Raw genomic sequence first — 21,778 nt, forward strand, 5'->3', positions numbered from 1 at the left:
CCAGTACCCAATCTTAGTGGACTTTAAGTAAGGTGAGAGTAAAGAGTCTCTGAATGAGATTTTCTTAGGAATAAAATAGGCACATTTCAGTATGTGGATGTTGTGAGACCCATTTTGAATATTGTAGTGTCCTTTTGATGTTTCCCCAAAGTTTTTTAGATAGGGAAATTTACAAGACATCTGAATTCTGGGTAATTGAGAGATGTTGCTGTGATCTTAAAAAACTAACCTATCTCTTTAGATTAGTTTGCCTGTGTGTCCATAAGCTCCAGTAGTGAATGGTGAAAGTCTTCCTAATCATTCTAACCCACATGAATCCCTTCCCTGATTCCTTAAGGTTAGCATTTTGATCTCTCCCACACAGTTAGTGGCTTATTATATGCAGTAGACCCCTGAAATTCACCAGAGATACATTCTAAAGCCTTAGCAAATCTGCAAAATTGCAAAAATTCTGACAACATAATAGTATCCTTCATGCAATGCAATAAAGTGTTGTAGAAAAATTTAAGTGCTCCTTCAGTCTCTTAATGACGTGTATAAATATAGGACTTAAGTTACTTATAAAGCTGGTTGACTGTCTTTTTAGGGCCACTTCTTACAAAGAAATGCAATTTTATAATTTCTCCAACATTACTGCATGGAACCTGAAAAAGGGGAGCAAAATCCAGTTTTGAGGTGGACGTCACAGATTGCACAAGGAATTTTTCAAGAGAAGACAGAAATATGGACATTGGTGATAGGTCCTATCTTTATAAATTTATTGGCAACCAATTTTTAAATTTTTAAATACTCTGAGTTGACAATGTATAAGATAATCTATACATGTATGCCTGGACAATTTGGCTGGTTGTAAGTCTATATCTTCAATCATGATTCATGAGAACTCATTCAAAGTGTGCACTGGAGAACACTAAGGATGTATCATACTAATGTATGTTATTAGTTTATCTATGAAATCTTACCTCTACAAGTCAATTGTAGGCAACATGAAAGAAACAGGCTACATTTTTCAACTTCCTTTGGATGTCCTCTGTGTGGTTGAATACATAGCAGATTTGTCGTGTCTGTTGGGTCTTTGTAGGAGATTTTCGAAGAAATATAATATCATGGTACCCAACGCTGATACACATTTATTACAGAGGGCATAACACCATGAGAAACACAAAAGAGTGTAGGAGAAACAAAAAGGAATTAGAAGAAACTGCAGCAATCCCTGTAGTCTCATGGAAGGGAGCACACTCACATGACCTCGCAACCTGAGGGAAGCGGCAACCACAGCCTGTAAACACGGGAAAGAGTGATGCACAAACTGCACGCTTACAACCTGGGGGAATGGGAAGATGTGTTATTACTCAGGGAAACCTTCATGCAGGGGGTGAATCTTAAACCAGGTCTTAAATGGAAGGAGGGCCCACCAAGTTAGAGGAAAACTACTACTCAGAGTCAAAATGTAGCGACTTTTGAGGACTGAGAATCCTCTCTCCGAAGAGAACCTGAAACTTGACTGTCTTTCCTTAGACACAGTGAAAAATCATCTCTGCGTAAATTGTTTATTTGTATACACAAAGCATGTTTCATGACAGGTTAGGTGACAGTGGAAAATGTGAACGCTGAGAATATGCCAGATATGTTTGTTAAGCATGAAAGTGATTTCTATGATAATGAATGCATGCTTACCGAGCTGAGAAAATTTCAAGTGAGATGAATTACCAAGTACCTCGGTGCATTTAACAACCCTGGGATGTTATCAGGGCTGGGAAGTTAATTTAATGCTGCACATCAAACATCCAGCCAAGCACCCAAAGAATGTGGAACGAAAGCTAAGGGAGCCACACATCTTTAAAAAAATCCCGAAACTTGACCAACAACATGTGCTTGCTCAATTCCTCAAGTTTCAGCAGGCTGGGAGCCAAATTTTCTGAATTCATTTCATACCTGTGATAGCTTCCCAAACTAATAGTTTTTGTTTTTGTTTGGTACACAGTAGTCATGGATGATATTATGACAAGAATAATAAGGTGGGGTGAAAGCCAGAAATGGACATGGCAGCTGTTGGAAGGCAGAAGTGGAGTTCAGCCGACTTCATAGGCCTTAGCTCAGAATGATGGGCTGGTAGGAGAACAGCAAATGAGGTTCTAGGAGGTGCACAGCTCTGTGCTGGGTGCTATGAAAAGGCCCAAAGAAATGCAGGTTGTCTGTGTTTGCCCCCAAGGAGCCTACAACGTGGGCACTTTAAACATTAAGAGGATTAGGTAGAGAGGCAGACCCCTACTTTCATCTCCCAATCCCATCACTGACATGTATGACATTGGGGATGGTACTTAACTTCTTTGAACTTCAGCGCCTTCATACATAGAATGGGGTTAGCACATCTTAACTGAAAGGTTCTGCAGGGCTCAATGAGATAAGGTGAGCAAAAGAGCTTAGTAGAGTTTCCTGGCACAGTCCACATACGTTGTGTTGGCTCACGTCTTTGTGGCTGTGACAACTCGGCATCATACAAAAGACTGAATTAGAAATAGTTCCCACATGATGGCCTTATTGTCCAGGCAGGCAGATATAAATCACAATATCTGGCCTAAATTGTACCCTTGAATTGTATTGTGAGGGTGGTCCCGAAGAAGACGCTCTGGTAGGTACAAAGTAGGGTATGGCCTCATGTGGCTTTGTGTTCTTGGAGCTTAGTGCTGTGTAAAATGCATTAACAGATGGCTTCCCTGGGAATTTAGAATAGAATTTAGTAGGAGGGACATCACCAGAGCCCCCAAATCTGAGCCCTAAAAGTTTGAAGCTGCACTTTATTGTAAAAGTCATTCAGTCTAAACAGCTTATTTTATGGAAGAAGAAATCTGCTTGCCTCTATCCATGCTACTCAGAGAAGCGACTGCTAGGAGGAATGGAGCTTGGGGAGGGGTTGGCTTGTGTTGTTGCTCTTGTTCCTGCCACTGCTCGGTCAATGCAGTTCCTGTTCCCACTGAAGGCAGAGCAGAGGAATTAGTAGAAAGTGTGCTTCTTGCAGGAGCTGAGCTGTTCCCCAGGGGGTAGTATGGTTGTCCCTCTAGCCTGCGATGATTTTGATATAATTCTGCCTAGAGGTGGAGGGATGAACCAAGATGACTTTCCTAGGATGCTGCTGGTAATACTGAGGCCCAGGATTTTAAACACACACACACACACAGAGAGAGAGAGAGAGAGAGAGAGAGAGACAGAGAGAGAGAGAGAGAGAGAGAACCCTCTTTAAGAGGGATGGGGGAGAATGAGCAAGCTTGGCATTTCCCTTGGGATAGAGAAGCACATGAAACGAGTTATCTTATTTGAGTCTATGCCTAGCTACCTTGTGCTTTCTAGAAAACAATTATGCCAGTAAATTTCATTAATTTTATGTCTTTGGGTAATTCGCTGACTGTAATTGGCTTTGAGAGTGTAGTGATTGCACAGCCTCTGTGGGTAACACACAAATAAAAACAATGTGATGAAATGTAATTGAATGATGACTCCAATTTTTAATAACCCCCAGAACATGAGTGCTCTGGGAGTGCAGATATTGATGATAGTTACAAGATCAAATATCACCCCAAAATGAATGAAGCACCATGGTGATGACAAATGGAGGCCATCACATTTGCCCAGAAATAACAATAAAAACAACAATAACAGAGGCTTATATCTGCCAAGAGCCAGGTACCATTCTAAAATTTTTGTGAACTAACTCATTGAAACTTCATAACCATCGTGTGAAGTAGGTGGTGTTGTAATCTCCATTTGGTAAATTTGGAATCTAAGGCAGAGACAGATTTAAAAAAAAAAAAAAAACTTATCCAAGTTCACACAGCTAGTGCACAGTGAAGCCAGCCAGAGAAGAATTCCTTCCCCCACAACCCCACGATGCTCACTCATTGGATATGTTCGCTTCCTTCCTGCTCTCTTAATCATCTGGGTTTTCATTTAGTTTTTATCATTTTGCATACACATCTCATGTATTAGGTTGAATCATATGAAATCAATGTTTTCACAGATCAAAAATCATTGACTATTAGTAGTAGTCTCATACGGTTTGACCTAATATTCCACGATTCAGGGATTATTTCTATTAATTAAGACAATCGGCATTTTATTCCCCTGAACAGTCTATTGAGGAGAAATGCATGTGACCAAAGTAATCCACGCAGGATGAATCTCAGGCCTCATGCCTGGAATGTTAGGATGGAAGTTGTTATGCAGAGACATAAGGTCCAGAACTCCTGGAGCTGCATCAATAATAGCTTAAAAATGAAACCTGTCCACGAAGTTTCCATATCTACCCATAGCCTTGAGAGTCACAAATGTAGAGTCAGGACTGCGGATAAGCCACACCTGGTCACTGGTCTCTCTACATTTTCACTTAGATGAGCCAATCAGTCTTCTTCATTTAAGGCCATTGAGTTGGTTTTTTTCTTATTCCCAATCACATATCAGCCATTCTTGAGTGAAGAGAGACAAAAGGGGATTTTAACTTTGCAATGGACATGAATGATAGAGATGGCAGAAACATCTGGTGACATTTACATCCAGGTCCTCTGACTCTTCAGCCAACAAGCCACATAATGCTGTGACAAGGACAAGCCTGTCTTCACCACACAACCTGCTTTCCTCTTTTTCCTGCAACTCTTTCAACTTCATCTTCACCATCTCTAAAGGAACAACTGCATGGCAAGGAAGCACAGTGAAGTGGAGTATGCCTTCTTACTGGTATCAAGTTCCTTCTCAAGTAAGAGAGAAGAGTGTAGGCAAAAAATCTGGAAGGCTATATAAGACAGTGAAGTTTTACCCCTGAAGAGGGCTTATCCAAGAGAAGTAGGAAGTGGGGAGTACAAGGTAGTATCCTGGTCTTTGTTACGAGCTTACCTTGAAATTTATATAGTAGGCTATTTCTGAGTAGTATTTTTCCATATGGAATTAGCAACCACCCATATTTTTCTCCAATAAATGGGGATGTTCTGAGGATTGAGGATAACATCAGTGCTCTATTTGCTCCATAAAAGGATAATGAGTAGGATATTGGTTGCCTACCCAATATTTATCCCATCCTTTCTATACTTTCCTAACAGAATCTGAATTTTGTACAGAAATCAATAGCAGCCATGAGTAAGAATGCTCAGAGTGTACCCTGGGTAGGGCCTTTATATGAGCTAAAGGAAACCAAAGCCAATTTCTAAGATGGAAATGATTGTCCCAATTGCCTAAGGGCATTGCTTTGGTGGTAACTCATGATTGCTCTGTCTAGGAATATAGAGATTGTGTATTTCAGTGGTAATATGAGTAATGTTCTTTGATCATAAGTGATTTAATTATAGTCTCAGGGACCTCAGAATATAAAGGAGAGCCTTTCAATGTTATTCCACTGAAAGAGCGTTAGCAACCACATGCCATTCAAAATGGGACTCGTTCCCGGAGAGATGTTATTTCTGGTCATGAGTGGGGATGGCAAATTAGGGAAAAAAATATCCTGGAATTTATTGACCTAAATTCATTTACAACCAATCAGATCCCAGAAGGCTAAGGGTTTAAGCCAGGAAACAAAAGGGCTGAGCCTCTTGAAATGCTGGTTTCCACTCTTCCTTTGCAACAGGACCCCCCACAGTGGCAAATACATGTTTCTTTCCTGTGAGGTAGGCAGCACCAATGTTTGACTTCAGGTTACTAAACTCACTGGCTTTCCTATCTATTCACCCTTTGGAAATCTCCTCCCAGGACTCAACAGAGGCTGAAGACATTGTCATCAGTTGTGGATCTGGGGGTGAAGGAAGTGAGATCTGAGCAGGTCAAGGATGGTCTGTGGAGCAAGTGGCAAACACTGGTCATGGCTCTTGGCATTGGGGAATGCTCTAGATCCCTTGAGATGCATGCAGGGCCATGAGGCACTGGTCCTTGTGGTAAGGTGGGACAGCCTGGAGGTAAGGATGGAGGAGAGAGAGTACATGGTGTGCAGGAGCCTTCTTGGGGGATGCAGGCTGCCTCCTGCAGTACACATGGGAGTTTTTGCAGGCAGTTCATGTAGAAATGAACTTCAAGGGAAGCCTTTCAAGGTAAAAAGAAATTCAGTTTGCTGTCTGTTATGGTTTGGGTCTGTGTTCCTGCCCAAATCTCATGTCAAATTGTAATCCCCAATATTGGAGGTGGAGCCTGGTGGGAGGTGATTGGATCACGGAGGCAGAAATCCCCTTTGGTGCTGTTCTCATGACAGTGAGTCAGTTATCATGAGATCTGATTGTTTAAAAGTATGTAGCACCTCCCCCTTCTCTCTCTTCCTCCTACTCTAGCCATGTAAGACGTGCCTGCTTCTCCTTCATCTTCTGCCATAATTGTAAGTTTCCTGAGGCCTCCCCAGCCATGCTTCCTGCAGAGCCTGCGGAACCATGAGCCAATTAAACCTCTTTTCTTTATAAGTTACCCAGTGTCAGGTATTTCTTTATAGCAGTGCAAGAACAGATGAATACACCATCTGGGAAGATAGTAATGGAGCCCGGGAAGCCTCATCCACTTGGCCTTAGAGACAGTGGGAAGTGGTTATACATCTCAGAAATTTTGAAAGCATTATCTGACTTTCATCATCTCTTGAAATTTTTCCAGAATCAGGAAAATAGTCTCCATAAACACTGATTCTATGTTCTGGAGAACTAGGAAAATGAGAAAATAAAATGAAACTTACAGTTTAATTGTGTGAAAGTCAGATCAGTTACAGTCATGTATGTGAGCTGCTCACCACTGAGGTCTCACGACAAGGATTCATGAAGAGGGTCATGAATAGTACTTGACGGCATAAGACTGTGATACTTGATTCCAGCCAAAATGCTGATATTTATGTGCTCAACATGTGTTACTTATATGTCAGGGAGATTTGTCTGTAATGTAAATTCTTTTTAGAGAGCACTGATGGGGAGGCTTTGGTGCCTTACATGTCAAGGTGGGCTAAATTTCCTAACAAGACATTGGGCCCATCCTTGGGTCTGGGCCAGGCACCAGAAGCAGGCTCTGCAGTAAGCATTTACTCTCTCAGCCTCTGCTAGGATTGAAATCACCAAGAACCCAGAGGTGGCTGGGAAACCATCACATCACCATTTCACCAATGACAGCGACAACTGGCTTTTCCCTAGGGATTACTCTGTCCCTGATACTGTGCAAGAGATTTATGCGTGTTGTCTTATTTAGTTCTCACAATTACTATATGAAATAAATTTCTTATTTCTATTTTACAGATGAAGAAAAGGAGGCTCAGAGAGTTTAAGAAACTTACCCTCCTCACACCATGGATAACAGGCAGAGCCAAAAGCAAATGCAGGTCAGTGTGACCCTACACTCAAAGCCTGGGACTCACCCTGCAACAGGCTGGGTGAGGAGCCTTAGGGGCACCTGAGCTTTTGAAGCCACTCTGATGGTAAGTCTTGTCTGAATGCCGAACTGGATTCTTCATGTGACATTTAGAACCCAGCTTGAATCAGATGAAAGGGAGTCTCCTAAAATTCACACACAAGACAAAGGAGGCCTTGCAGCTGAATTTCCACAAAGCCCTGGATGGGGCTGCATCCAAATGTTCTGCATTCCAAATATTCCCTTCTTGCCACGGTGCGGTTTTGGAGTGGGCGGCCTCTTTTCCTGGAGGCTTGTAGGCACATCTTCCTGCAGAATGAGGTGTCACTATCTCCAAAACAGGGTGAAGCATCTTTGAGCTATCTCCAGTTTCTGTTGGGAGGCTTTGAACCTCTCTACAGGAATTGTGTTTCCCCAGTCAGCGATCGGTCACCCGATCGAGAGTTGCCAATAAGATAAGAAACTGCTATCAAGTTTCACCCTTGAAAGTTCTTCCTTCCTTTTCTCACTCTAGGATTAATTCATCTTGAATTTCAAGATAGGGAAAGGTGGGGGTCTTGAAATTTATAGGGATGCATCCCAGAGCAATTTCCAGTGTTTAGCCATAAATATTTTCAAGAGAGATAAAAGCAGTTACTCTAACACTAACTCCCCTGTACAGACTGGCCCCTGGGAGCAGAGAAGTGCAGCCAGCAAGGGAGTGTGGGAAGACTAACCCAACGGGACAGCCACTTATCTTTCCTGTTTGCCCCAGGGAGGGAGGTTGGTGGTGGGGGCTGGCTGCTGTTAGAAGTGCTGAGCATCCCCCACCCCTCCCAATTTGTATTTAATCTCCCTAGCCCTGTATGTTTTTTTCATTGCCAGACCCAGATCTACGACAACAGTTTCCATTTCTTCCCATCTCCCAAGCAGTGAGCAACAAAGGAAAGACATTCTAAGAGCCCATGAAACGTTTTTTTTTTTTATTGAAACCCTGTTCTCCAGAGAGAGATTGAGGAGGCGATTTAAGCAACCTTATTACAAAATAAAAATGTATCCTCCTACTCCATGGCAGGAAATGTGAGAAAGAGAGACAAGCCCATAAAAAAGCACCAAAAAAAAAAAAAAAAAAGTTTGCACAAGGACTAGAACAAAGGAGAGACATTAAATAATTATGTGCAGAAGAAACAAAAACAACATGAGACTCAAAAAGGATCGTTAAAAAAAACAATTTACACAATATTGCCTTAGGCAGGAACTTCTTTGAGATATTATGCATTATATTTCAAATTTTCTAATTAAAAAGATTAATCAAGCTGTGCATAATAGCTGGGATGGGAATCCCTTATCTTTAACAGTATAGTTTATAAGAGCATTCCTGATTTTGTACGGTTGACAGTATTATGAAGGCATTTGACAATACTATCAGAAAGATTTCAGGTGCCTCAAGTTTTGTTTGCAGCTTCATAATTTATCATTATTTAATGGCACCCAAATAAATCTGCTCATTAATGAAGCAGATTAGAAAATAGACACAATTCCGCTTGGTGGCACACACTTGTAGGCCCTGCTACTTGGGAGGCTGAGGCGAGAAGATGGCTTGAGGCCAGCCTGGTCAACACAGTGAGTCTACTATCTCTATTAAAAAAGAAAAAGAAAGAGCAAACAGACACAACATAATACAGCTACATTTCTAGACTATCTAATTCTTCTCACCCACGGCCCCAGTTGGATTGAATAGTCTGCTAAAATTAAAGTGAACAGCAAACACCGAGCTCTGTTTTAGGAAACCTTTTTTGTGTTTTGCTCAGCATTGACATTGGTTATTGATGCCTAATCTTCAATAGATCTTGTAGGCATTCTAGAACTCATGGAGTTAGTGGTTTTTTCCATAGAATAACCATCTCTGTATTTTCACATACAGATGGTTGGGGATTCTGCCCTAGAGTGGGCTAGGACAGGAGGAAATACTTGGAATATCAGGTGCAGCCATGTAAGCAGCTCATTAGAAGGGCTCATTTACTTTCCAGTAGACATTTCTCTCACTGGGGCTGGTTTCCTTCTTTGGCTCTGGGAGTACTGCCAAGTCACTTTTCCCTCCTGGGAGGAGAGGGGGTCAAGGGTGGATTGGGGAGACAGCCTCTCCTTCCTCTTGTGTGCCCACCTGCTGGAAATAGAAATTGTGTCTCTTAGTTTCAAATGGTGTTGCCCACGAGAAGCAGTCATGGGGCAGGCAGAGTACAAAGCTTTCCCCCTTGCTCTGTTGTTGGGGATTGGCAGGGAGTGGGGAGGGAGGAAGGATTAGTAGGCTGGGGTTGGGAAGGGGTAGATGTCTGAGGGTTTCCTCTGTGGAAAGAGGTGAGCAGGGTGGACCTTAGGGAGGGCGACAGGTCTCATCTACTTAATATCTTGTCTCATCTCCTCCTCCTAACCTCTGCAAGGGGCAGGGGGTGGGGAAGGGGAGTCCCAGTTGATTCCCTGCAAAATATGCCTGCAAATGAGGCAGCTGACTGGGAGCATCCATACTATTTAGATACAGAACCCACATGGCTGTGAATTCCCCAAATCTCAAGCACATTGTAGAATAGTCACAGAATCTGAGCAATACCTGACTATCTAAATGGCCCAATTTCTCTCTTAAGAAGCTTTTAGGAGAAATAAGGTCACATAAAAATCAAGGTAGCAAGCAGTATTATTCCTCCAGGCATCTTTGAGTCAGAAAGAGCCTGAATTTTAAAAATAAAAACTGCTGTCTTGCTTAATATATTCTCTCCTCTAATAAGCCACCAAGCAGCCATTGTACTCTCCCAAGCCAGTGGACATATATCTTGCTAAGACACATGTGTCCACAGTCAGGATATTGTCTAGGAAACCTGAGCCTGCAGCCTGCGCAGGAGCCGCCATCACTGCATTAATTCCTTCCAGAAGAATAGAAACCCAGGCTCAAGGCAGCAGCACAGGGTCCCCGAAGGACACATTGCCATTTATTTTCGGTGTGATTATTTTCCATTACACACTTGCAAGGGGTGTTTTTGAATGCTATCTTACTTTCTTTTCATGTCCCTTCATTTACTGCACCCCTAGAGACAGTCAAAATCTCCAGGCCACACTCTGCAATAAAAACTCAGCAAGTTTAGAGGATACAGCATGAAGCTTCCCAGACGGCCAGAAGTTCTGCTGACGGTACTAAAATTCAGGAGCCTCATCTAGCATCCCAGGCAGGTGTGTCTATTCAGTGAATAGGAAGCTGGAAATGTTTCCTTCGAGGATGGCTTCTCTTCTTCCCGTGGGCTAAGAGTTGGTGTATTTTCCTTCTGGACTGCCTTGATCCCTGACTTGGTCAATTCTGAATGTCAGACCAGTTTCTGGGGGCTCTGTTTGCATTCTGGAGGTTACGGTCCTCAGGTTCTTTTGTACTATGATGGGCTGGGGATAAGTCCCTTCAGCAGGGGTGGAAGGCCCTTTATGAACTGTGGTCTATGATCAGAATCTTGTTCCACTCAGAGCTTTTCTCAACTGCCCCTGAGTGCATGATGACAGAAAACAGTCATAATCAGTCCTTGGTCTCTAAGTGCAAGGAACCCTCTAAATGTATTCATAGCAAAACAGTATGTTTCACCACCGAAATATACTCATAGAGCTGATTTCAGATGAAGTGGCCCAGAAGTTTACTCCTTGTAGCCTCGTGTGTTGCTGAGGAGTCTCCCCTATTTCTTCAGAGTCTTGCTCTGTCGCCCAGGCTGGAGTGCAATGGCAGGATCTCGGCTCACTGCAACTTCCGCCTCCCAGGTTTAAGTGATTCTCCTGCCTCAGCCTCCCGAGTAGCTGGGGCTACAGGTGTGCATCACCACGTCCAGCTAATTTTTGTAGTTTTAGTAGAGACGGGGTTTCACCATGTTGGTCAGGATGGTCTTGAACTCCTGACCTCATGATCCGCCCACCTCAGCCTCCCAAAGTGCTGGGATTACAGGCATGAGCCACTGCACCCGGCCTCTCCCCTATTTCTATACATTTCTGAACTGTGTCAAGATCACTTTGGTGCATTTTGGGAAATGCCTCAGTTGCATCAAAATCAATGGTTCTCCAAAGCATCAGAATCACCTGGAGGGCTTGTTAAACATGGCTCACTTGGCCCCTCCCCCGGAGCTTCTGATTAAGTAGGTCTTAGGTGGGACTCAAGAATTTGCATTTATGACTAGTTCCTGGATATGCTGGGTCAGAGTGTGTGTCCTCTGTCTTAATCCGTTTTGGGCTGCCATTAAAAAAATACTGTAGCCTGGGTAGCTTATAAACAACAGAGATTGGTTTTTCACAGTTCTACAGTCTGGGAAGTCTAAAATCAAGGTGCTAAAAGATTTGATGTCTGGTGAGGGCTTGCTTCCTCAAAAATTTCTGTCTTCTTATTATAACCTCACATGGCAGAAGGGGCAAGGGATCTCTCTTGGAATCTCTTTTATAAGGGCACTAATCGAGTTCATGAGGGCTCCACACTCATGACCTAATCACCTCCCAAAGGCCCCACCTCCTAATACCATCACCTTGAGGGTTAGGATTTCAACATATAAGTTTTGGAGTGATGCAAACAGTCAGCCCATAGCAAGCCCCAAATTCATGTCCTTCCCGGGACCTCATAATAAAAACTTATTTGGGAATAGAATTGTTGCTGATGTAATTAGTTAAGATGAGGTCATACTAGAATAGGGTGGGCCCTTAATCCAATTTGCCTGGCATCCTAATAAGGAGAGACCCACAGACAGGGACACAGAGGAGAATGCCATGTGACAACAAAAGCAGAGAGGGGAGTGATGTGTCTACAAACCAAGTAGGCCAACGATTTCTGGCAATGGCACAAACTAAGCGGAAGGCATGGCACAGATCCTTCCTTGGTGCCTTCAGAGAGAATGTGCCCCTGCTGACATCTTGGTCTTGGACTTTTAGCCTCCAGAACTGTTAGAGAATACACCTTTGTTGTTTTAAGCCGCCAGCTTGTGGTAATTTGTTATGGGCAGCCCTAGGACATGAGTACAGGAGATGCTGATATTGGTGGTCCTGATAAAGCACTTTAAGAACCACTCATGGAAATTAATTAGATTATTTCCTTCTTCTTCAACTCCTCTCTCTCCTTACAGTGTCCATGATGAATTTTCTTTCCAAAATAATTTCTACTTGCATCTGCCAGCGCCTTCTTAATTCCCTAAGAAGAATTTTCACCAGCTCCTGGTTCCTTAATACTTCCCTGATTCTTGTTCCTGATCTTTTTAACCCCATGTAATCCATGGGGGCCCTTTCCAGCTATGTTGTGGTAAAATGAGATCTCTGATTCCTCTATCCTGATAGGGAATTGTTACTTCATGTGGTTGGATTTCACACACTCTAGGAAGAGAAAGACACAGGTAGCAGGAAACCGTTGTAAGAGCCATCAGGGAACTGGAGAGACAGGGTGGGAGTGAGGGGATTTTGGCTTCAGGAAGACAAGCATTAAGAGGGATTTATCTGCCTTCAAATATATGAAGTGTTACTGTGCATAAGATGCAGACAGCATGCTTTCCATCTCCTCTGAGAATGAGCCAAAGGCAGGCAGGCTTAGGGAGAAGAACTTTGAGTGGACAGAAAGAATTTTCTGAGGTTGAAGGTTTTAAGTCACTGGAATGTCAAGGGAGAATTTTAAGTAAGAGTAGACACCTCTTTATTAAATTTGATTTAGATGGGGCCCTTTGTGGAGCCAGGCAAATGAACAAGATAGACTTTGGAGGTACTGTCTGCTTTCTGAGTCTGCAAACTTGCAAAAGCAGGAAAAATGTCCATTTGGGAAAAAAATTAGCTCAAAGGAAAGAAACACTTCTCTGTTGATATATTTGTGATCTTAGATAGGGAATCAGCCTGCATTTTTTCTTTTATATTTTTAATTGAATACCTATAAAGACACCCTTTTGTGTTAAGGAGTGAGATTGGTTAGAAGCTTTGGTTTTTAATCCCTCTGGTATTATCTAGGCTTTATTTTTATTTTTATTTTTGAGACAGAGTCTTGCACTGCTGCCCAGGCTGGAGTGCAGTGGCGCAATCTTGGCTCACTGCAACCTCTGCCTCCCGGGTTCAAGTGATTCCCCTGCTTCAGCCTCCTGAGTAGCTAGGATTACAGGCGCCCGCCACCACGCCCAGCTAATTTTTTGTATTTTTAATAGAGACAGGGTTTCACCATGTTGGCCAGACTGGTCTCAAACTCCTGACCTCATGATCTGACCACCTCGGCCTTCCAAAGTGCTGGGACTACAGGCATGAGCCACTGCACCTGGCCTTATCTAGGCTTTTCAAATACAATTTTTTTCACCTGCAGGATGACAAAAGTAGTACATATTTGTTTTCTATTGCAACATAACCAATCACAAACTTAGCAGCTTAAAATAGCATAGTTATTCTCTCACAGTTTGCATAGGCCAAGAGTCTAGACATGACTTCTGGATCCTGTCCTCAGGATCTCACAAGGCTGCCATCAGAGTGCCCGTGGCCTGTGTTTCTTTCTGGAGTTTGGGATCGTTTTCCAAGCTTTCATGATTATCAGCTGACTTCAGTTCCTTTCAGCTGGAGGACTGAGGTCCCTACTCAGTTGCTGGCTGCCAGCTGGGGAATGCTGTCAGCATCTGGATTCCTCGCAATTCCTGGGCCTTCTCACAACATAGCTGCTCATTTCTTCAAGGCCAGTGGGAGAATCTCTCCCTCTGTAATAAGACCATGAGAGTGACCTCCCACCACCTTCTTCATACTCCCTGTTGGCTAGAAGCCAGTTACAGTTTCTGCCTGCGCTGAAGGGGAGGGGCTGATAGATGGCTGTCACTCGTTGGGGCCATCCTAGAATGCTGCCTGGCATGGGTGGTTGGGAAGGATGCCCAGCTGCCAGGGAGGGCTGCATCCAAAGGCTTCTACTTTATCTGGGATTCATCTGCTTAAATAAATTTAAATGCAGAAATGGAATTCCAAATGGAATACAGAAAGTGTGAATGATCCCAGCTTTACACTCTAGTTGTGCCCTAAAGCTCCATTAGGCAGTCAATTGTTGGAAGTTAAGTACTTTAATGAAGGACTTTCTTTTTCTAGGTAATATAGTATAGAAGGTAGACCTTAGAGCCAGACTGCCTGGGTTCAAATCCTGGCTGATACTTGCCCTGTGCAGTTTTGGGCAAGTCATTCAGCATCTCTGTGCCGTTTTCCTCATGTATTAACATAAATGGTGTTCATAACAGCACTTACTTCATGGAGTGGTAGTGAGGATGAAATTAGTTAATATGCATGAAGAGCTTAGAATAATGCCTGGCTCCTCATAAACACTGTCTATGCGCTATGATCTGGGTTAGGACAGCAGGCATCACATGCCATCCTTATGCACGACATTCCCATGGGCATGCTTAGGATTCTGGGCATTTCTTGGCTTGTAGCTATGGCTCTGTTCCTTTCTCTTCCACTCAGGGAAGCATTTCAGAATGCTAAAAAAGAAAGTGACATTACTCTAGGGGTAAGTCTGAACGAGGACTGATTTTTTAAAATTAAATGATCTATAAATTTCAGTTCTCCTAAGTAGTAATAATAATGACAGCTGAATTTGAGCATTTACTGTATGTTTTCCAACATACATACATTCATAGACTTTCCAGTCTATGAAATGCTGTGATGTGAGCATCTCATTTGGTCTTCACGACACCTCATAAGTAGGTACTATTATCCCCTTTTTATAGAGTTGGAGCCTGAGGCTTATTTCCTTAACCCAGCTGGTCAGTGGTGAAGCCTTAGATGGAAAAACGTGAAGCAGCTATACTCTGGAACCCTCTGTCTTATGAGCTATTCTGTAACATTTTCCCATCTTACTACTGGCAACTCACCTTTCAACTCATGTGCTGTAAAATTACAGTCAACAAATGCTGACATAAATGACACAAAAGGGGAGAAAAACTGTGGGTTCTTATTTGTTTGCTTAGTTGAGGGGGGCATGGTAATTGTAGACAGAGGGAAACAATTCAGGGTATATACATACTAGAGGAGCACCCACTAGGTTTCAGGCACTGTGCAGTGTTTCTCACTCACCATTGTCTCACTGGATCCTCAGAAATACTGTGGAAGCCTATTATTTTATTACCTTCTTTCTGCAGATGAAGACGTTGATGCTCAAAAGTCGCTAATGAGAAGCTGAGCCAAGAGTCAGATCCAAAGTCCTTCCAGCTCTGAAGCCTGCATTGTTTCCAACGCATGATGTTGTCTGAATGGTGAGCAATGGAAGACAGAAGATACTAACATGGTAGAAATTATCCTGAGTGGGGAGAGAGAAGGCCCTGGGGTGCTGCGAGTGTCCTGGGCAGGCAGCAGGGAGCCCCTTTAGCCCTGACTAGCTTGGTTGCATTTCTGATGGGTTTGACATCAACAGGCTCTGCTGAGTCCCAATTTGGCTAGGTACCACCACTTGTAGCACAGGGCAGATCACTCCAATGCCTGCAGCATTCATTTCTCAATTTTCAAATAAAACTAGCTTTGTTTGAAGGACAAAGTGAGATGATTTTTGACAGCACTGGGTAGATGCAATAACACTTTGCACTTTTCATTTAAACAGATACTTTAAATGTGAAGGTAGAAAGGAGAGAAAAAAGATTAGCTGTGGGTGGAGAGGGGGAGATGCTGTTGATGAGAAGCAAGCACTATCCATGAGATATTATTATGAGCCTTTGCAGAAGAACACAATCCAATCCTGGAGCCTTAGACGTCACTCCAGAATGCCATTGGAACATTTTCTCAGTTCACTTTTAGAACTTAGACAATAAGTGAGTAAACAGAAAACTTCCTGATAAACAGAAGTATTTTAAACACTTAATGGAGAAAAGAGCTCAGTGATTGGCAATGAGAGGGTCACATTGTTAGTTTCCAAGGGCAAAAGCTGAACAAAATGGATTAGGAATCATGCCTGATTCAATTTCTGGCTCAACAACTTAGCTATAAAATTGGGCAGAGTCTCCTCGAGCCTCTGTTTTCTCAGTTCTAAGGTGGAGATAACAACAATCTTGTAAGGTATTTGAAGTGATTAAATTAGGCAGTGCTATGGTTTTGCTCTTTGCCCCTTCCAAAACGCATGTTGAAACTTAATCCCAATGTGGCAGTAGTGAGAGGTAGGGCCTTTAGGAGGTGACTGGGCTATGAGAGCTCTGCCCTCATTTGTGGATCAATGTATTCCCGGGTTAATGGGTTATCATGAGAGTGGGACTTGTGGCTTTGTAAGAAGAAGAAGAGACACCTGAGCAAAGATGCTTAGCCCCCTTGCCATGTGATGTCCTGCACCTCCTCGGGACTCTGCAGAGAGCCCCCGCCAGCAAGAAGGCTCTCACCAGATGAAGTCATTCAACCTTGAACTTCTCAACCTCCATAACTCTAAGAAATACATTTCTTTTTCTTTTTAAATAAATTATCCAGTTTCAAGTATTCCGTTACAAGCAACAGAAAACAGACTAAGACAGGAAGTGATTCAATTAGCACAGTGCATGGCACCTATAAAACGCTCATTAGTGATACCTGCTGCCGCTGTTTCTACTCTTCTGCTGAATTACTATTAAAATAAGAATGAAGCCCGAAACAAAAACATGGTCACTTTAGAGTAATACTATTTAGAGAAGTTTTTCTGATTTGAGTCCCATCCTTGGATTCCAACATGCAGGAGACTAAGGAGTGGTGGGACCAGGCAGAAAGAAACATGCCCCAGATGTTTTGCTCAGATATTCTGGCATTGGAAACAGTGTGGTATGAAAAGATAATTTTGAGCTTCAGGAATAACTGGGTAATGACTTTAGAAGAGAATCTATGTGCCATCTCTCAGGTGCAATGGAGGTTAACAACGACAACAGCAGCCGTGGAAGTGGGGTGGAGATGGAGGTGGAGGGTATCCTTTTCTCTACATATGTCAACGGGCCTGCAAGAGGATTTGGCAGTGTGCTCAGGGGTTTAGGGCACAGATTCTGGAAGCAGGTTTGGTATATAGGGCCTTAGATAACTCATGTAGGATTTCTTTTGCCTTAACTTTCTCCTCTCTAAAATGAGGAGAAGAGGGTTGTACTACTGCTAACCACACAGACTTCTGTAGTGATTCAACAAGGCAGCACACATATGAAGGCCTTAGCAATGCTAGACACACAGGAAGGCCTCAAAAATATTAACTCATATTATAGCTAACCCTATTATTCAAAGGTAACAGATTCAGCAAAACTAAAATAGGAAAATAAAAAACTAGAGGGTATTAAATCTAGGTCTAGAATTGTGATTCCACTTCTTGAGTGTCCCTGCCAACCTGTCTTTCTTGGAGCTAAGAATTCTCTTCACATTCAGTCATGCATATCTGTCCATATTGTCATTGAAACACATATTATTGTAAAAGTATATCCAGAAAAGGTATTTTTAAGGTGCCCACATTTTCTATCTCCTGGCAGTGGAAGGACTTTGACTTCAGGGAAAATTTTAGGACACTGGGAAGGTCAATTACTCTTTTAAGATCATAATATCCTTACAAAAGGGTCCCATATGACCAACCAAGAATCACAGTATATGAAGCACATTCACCTAGAGATGAAAACTATTCATTTCTGACTCTTGTAGACTCCTAAGTGTTCTAAATATGATGTATAGCTGAAAACAAAGTTTAAAAGCTGATTTCAGAAGAAACCATTAAGCATATCCTGAAAGAAATCAGTTGATTTTACCTATTTGGGAAAACCTTTCAGCACAGAGAAGCGTAAAACAGAATGGTTGTCCTTTTGCAAAAAGCTCGTTTTGCAGGAGTCAGAAGGAGAAGCAGAAAGGCGGGTCTGCCAATGGCTTGAGATAAGTCTTTGGGAAAACTGCAGGCAGCCTGAACCTCATAAAGAGCTTATCCAGAAAGAGACATGAATATGATTATCCCTGGCTTTCAAGAGAGTGCAATAAACCAAGCTGGAAGATTGGTTTCTTTCTCTTCAGGCATGAGAGTGAAAGGCATTACCCCTTCCCCATGTCTCCCCACCTTTCCACTGCCCACCCCAATTTGAGCAGGCACAAGATTGCCTATGAAAAGTGCCATCAAAGCTTCAAAGACTCACTAGAGACCACCAGTTTCTGACCTCTGGTCAAACAACTCCAATGTGTGATGTGCCTGTTTCCCACGGACTATCCACGTTCCCAGCTGGGTTTGTGGATAGTGGAATTGGGTTTGTCTCAACTCCACACTCGTCAGATGGTTGTCTCATAGGAAAAACCAGCCAAGGGATATATATTTTGGGAGGCTGTTCTCCCAGAGGGTTAAGGCCATACAACCAGGCTCCCAAAACAGTTTAAGAAGAAAGTCACCCTGGAGTGGTACTGTTGGATTACTAATACATCTACTGCTACCCAATGGCACTCTTTTTTTTTTTTTTTTTTGAGATGGAGTCCCGCTCTGTCTCCATACAACCAGGCTCCCAAAACAGTTTAAGAAGAAAGTCACCCTAGAGTGGTATTGTTGGATTACTAATACATCTACTGCTACCCAATGGCACTCTTTTTTTTTTTTTTTTTTTTTTTGAGATGGAGTCCTGCTCTGTCTCCCAGGCTGGAGTGCAGTGGCATGATCTCGGCTCACTGTAGCCTCCATTTCCCAGGTTCAAGCAATTCTCCTGCCTCAGCCTCCCGAGTAGCTAGGACTACACACCCGGCTATTTTTTTTTTTTTTTTTTTTGTATTTTTAGTAGAGATGGGGTTTCGCCATGTTGGCCAAGCTGTTCTTGATCTCCTGATCTCGTGATCTGCCTGCCTTGGCCTCCCAAAGTGTTGGGATTACAGGCATGAGCCACTGCACTCAGCCTTTTTTTTTTTTTTAAATTTAAAGCCATAGTAGTCCTTAAGAAACCTCCCATTTAGAAAAAATGTTGAAAAGGTGGAGAGGGACTAGAACACAAAGGACTCATGGAGGGACTGGGAAGGACACATCTGAAACAGTAATTCACAGCATGAAGGTGCCAGGCCAGGTCTGGAAAAGATGCCCAGTCCAGAGTGAGAGAGCAGCACACAGCAGGCCCCCAAATAGTTCAGCTCCAGTGGCCATGCCCTCCACCAGCAGCCAGCTCATAAGGCTTTCTCTGTCCCTTCTCTTCCTCCTTTTATCCCTGGCTCCCATCCTACCCAACCCTACTGGAAAGATGAATAAAAAAAGTTAAAAAGGAAAAAGAAAAGGTATATTTATTAGAAATGTGTTCGGCTGTGAGTAACTAAAAGCCCACTTTATGGTGGCTTAAAGAGGGGTCCATTTTTCTCAAAGCATAACAAGTTTGGATATTTCCTGACTTTTGTCAGTGGCTTGGTCCTGGCTAAGGTCTTTGTGATTCCCTTGGCTTTCCTGACATGTCTCATGGTCACAAAGTGGCTGCTGTAGTTCTAGCTATCAAGTCTGTCTTCAAGGCACAGGAAATGGGAAGGGGATAGGGAGGGACCTGTCCCTACTTGCAACATAGCAAAACTTTCCATAAGTGGCCAGATTTCTGCTTATGTCACACAGTTCAGTACAAAATCCCATCACTTTCTCGGCCACCAGCAAGGCTGGGAAAATGGTGGCAAGGTAGAAGAGAATGGATATTGGATTCAATCAGTCAGTAATGTTTACCAAAAGAGGCAATGCAGAATCTATTAAAAATGAGAGATCTCCCCCAAGAGATTTCTGGGCTGCACCCTGGTTGATTCTGATAATCATCCAGACTAGGGAGCCACTGGCCTATGTAAAAATCTCTGCATCCCCAACAACCTAGTTGGGGATTAATCCTATAGACAGTGAGTACTTGAAAATTAGAACATCTGACCTTCTTAATCTTTCCTGGAAGGAAGGAGACTAAAATGAAGTGAGCCAGTGGTGTGCATACGCTGTTCTGCAAGGTGATAACATCTAGGGACCGGAGAAAGAGCCTTTATCCTTTTACAGGAGGCTGTAAGATAATAGAAACCAAGCTTGTTAACCAATAAATAGACGAGAAGCCTTGGGACAAAGGCCTTCTTTTTGGTAAAAATCAGAAGTGAGCAGGAAGGACTCACCCTGAAATTCTCAAACGTGGAGAATTGGAGAGTGAGTTGTCTCAGGGTGCACATAGCTGGACGGTAGTCTCCATCTTAGGGCAGATGGTAACAGTCCTTCTCTCTTCATGCGGCTCCTATATGCCGAGTGCAGGCACTTCACTTGGTTATAAGAAGCTTTAAGCTGCAACCAGATGCTTCCCTTTTCCCTTCCCTACCACTGGAACAGATGGAGTTAAGCTCTAGGCTGATTTCTTGCCCAGAGCACATGGTCCTCTCCTTCTTGTTTCTGCTGATGAGAGCTTAGTTACCAAAGATCTGAGCTCTAAGCCCTCCTCAAAAGCAACAGCTCAGGGAGGTGCTGACCAAAGCCTGTGGTTCAAATTTTAATACAGTGTCTTCGGGGGAGCTGGGAGGACCTATATTCAAATGAACTGAGGACTTCAGTTGCCTCTTGTTCAAGATGAAGAATCCCGTTGGCTCAGAAGGGGAACCCCAACTTTCAAAGCCATTTTTCCCCACGTATATTGATTTTTCCATAGTGTCAACTGTCATTTACCAGGTAGGCACCCGCCTGCTTCATTGTCCCTTGGGTGAGTGAAGACATCACCACTTGTTAATTGCTCACCAGGCACTGGACCAAACTCAACACATTAATTTTCTTACTAGGCTCAGTGATGGCTTGGCTGAAGAAGACTTCATGATCACTCCCATTTTGAAGATCAGCACATTGAGGTTCAGAGTGGTGAAATGACTTGAAGTTCCTGTGGAGAGTAAATGGGAAACATCAGAGGAATGATTTGAACCCTGGTCTGTCCACCTTCAGTGCCCATATTTTGTCCTCCATGCTTTGAAGCACAAATCATGATTCAGGTGAAGAAAGATATTTTAAGAGCTATGAAGATTGCTGGTATTCTCAACAACAAGAGCTCTGTGGTCACATGTGAGTCTAGTTTGGGTTGTTGCTTTTCAAACTTATTTGATTACAAAACTATAGATGTCAATTATTTTGCAAAATGCTTAGTGCTGGAGATGATGAGTGCCTAGATGTAAGCATCTGCTGCTGGGTTTTGCTTTCAGAAGACACAGAGAAAAATACAAATTTATCAAACCTATTAGCCTAAGATTATTGTTATCATGAAGCATTTTTGTTTATAAAAGTATTTCCTTTAATAAGCATAAGCATTAGCAGCCCCATTCACCAACTGTCAACTTGGTGCCTACTCAGAGCAGTGCTTCTACACCCCGCCACCTCCTGCCAGCTGCTGGGGTCCCTGCTCCCTGCTCAGGAGCTCACTGTGGAATGGATCTGAAGGTGCAGCCTGGGCATTGAGAGTTTCAAAAGCTCCCCACATGGTCCTAACATGCAGCCAGAATTCAGAACTATTGATTTAGATTGGTAGGGAGACTAGGAGAGTAG

General features: G+C 43.0%; 1 long non-coding RNA gene across 3 annotated transcripts in view; it reads left to right on the forward strand.

Moving 5' to 3' along the window:
• LOC105379034 (uncharacterized) overlaps positions 1 to 21,495 on the forward strand; it is a 36,735-nt gene extending 15,240 nt beyond the window's left edge. Inside the window, exons 1-4 of one of the 3 annotated variants that reach the window (XR_007058819.1) lie at positions 6,280 to 6,343; positions 7,236 to 7,318; positions 15,465 to 15,578; positions 21,028 to 21,495. This is a non-coding gene — a long non-coding RNA (uncharacterized LOC105379034). Of the gene's footprint in view, positions 1 to 6,279; positions 6,344 to 7,235; positions 7,319 to 10,323; positions 10,549 to 15,464; positions 15,579 to 21,027 lie in introns of those variants that run through there. The other 2 variants (XR_001742745.1, XR_001742746.1) reach the window with 2 other exon arrangements.
• Positions 21,496 to 21,778: the final 283 nt, after the last annotated feature.

This window comes from Homo sapiens, chromosome 5 (genome assembly GCF_000001405.40).
Source record: "Homo sapiens chromosome 5, GRCh38.p14 Primary Assembly".
In the NCBI taxonomy this organism is placed as follows: Eukaryota; Metazoa; Chordata; class Mammalia; order Primates; family Hominidae; genus Homo; species Homo sapiens.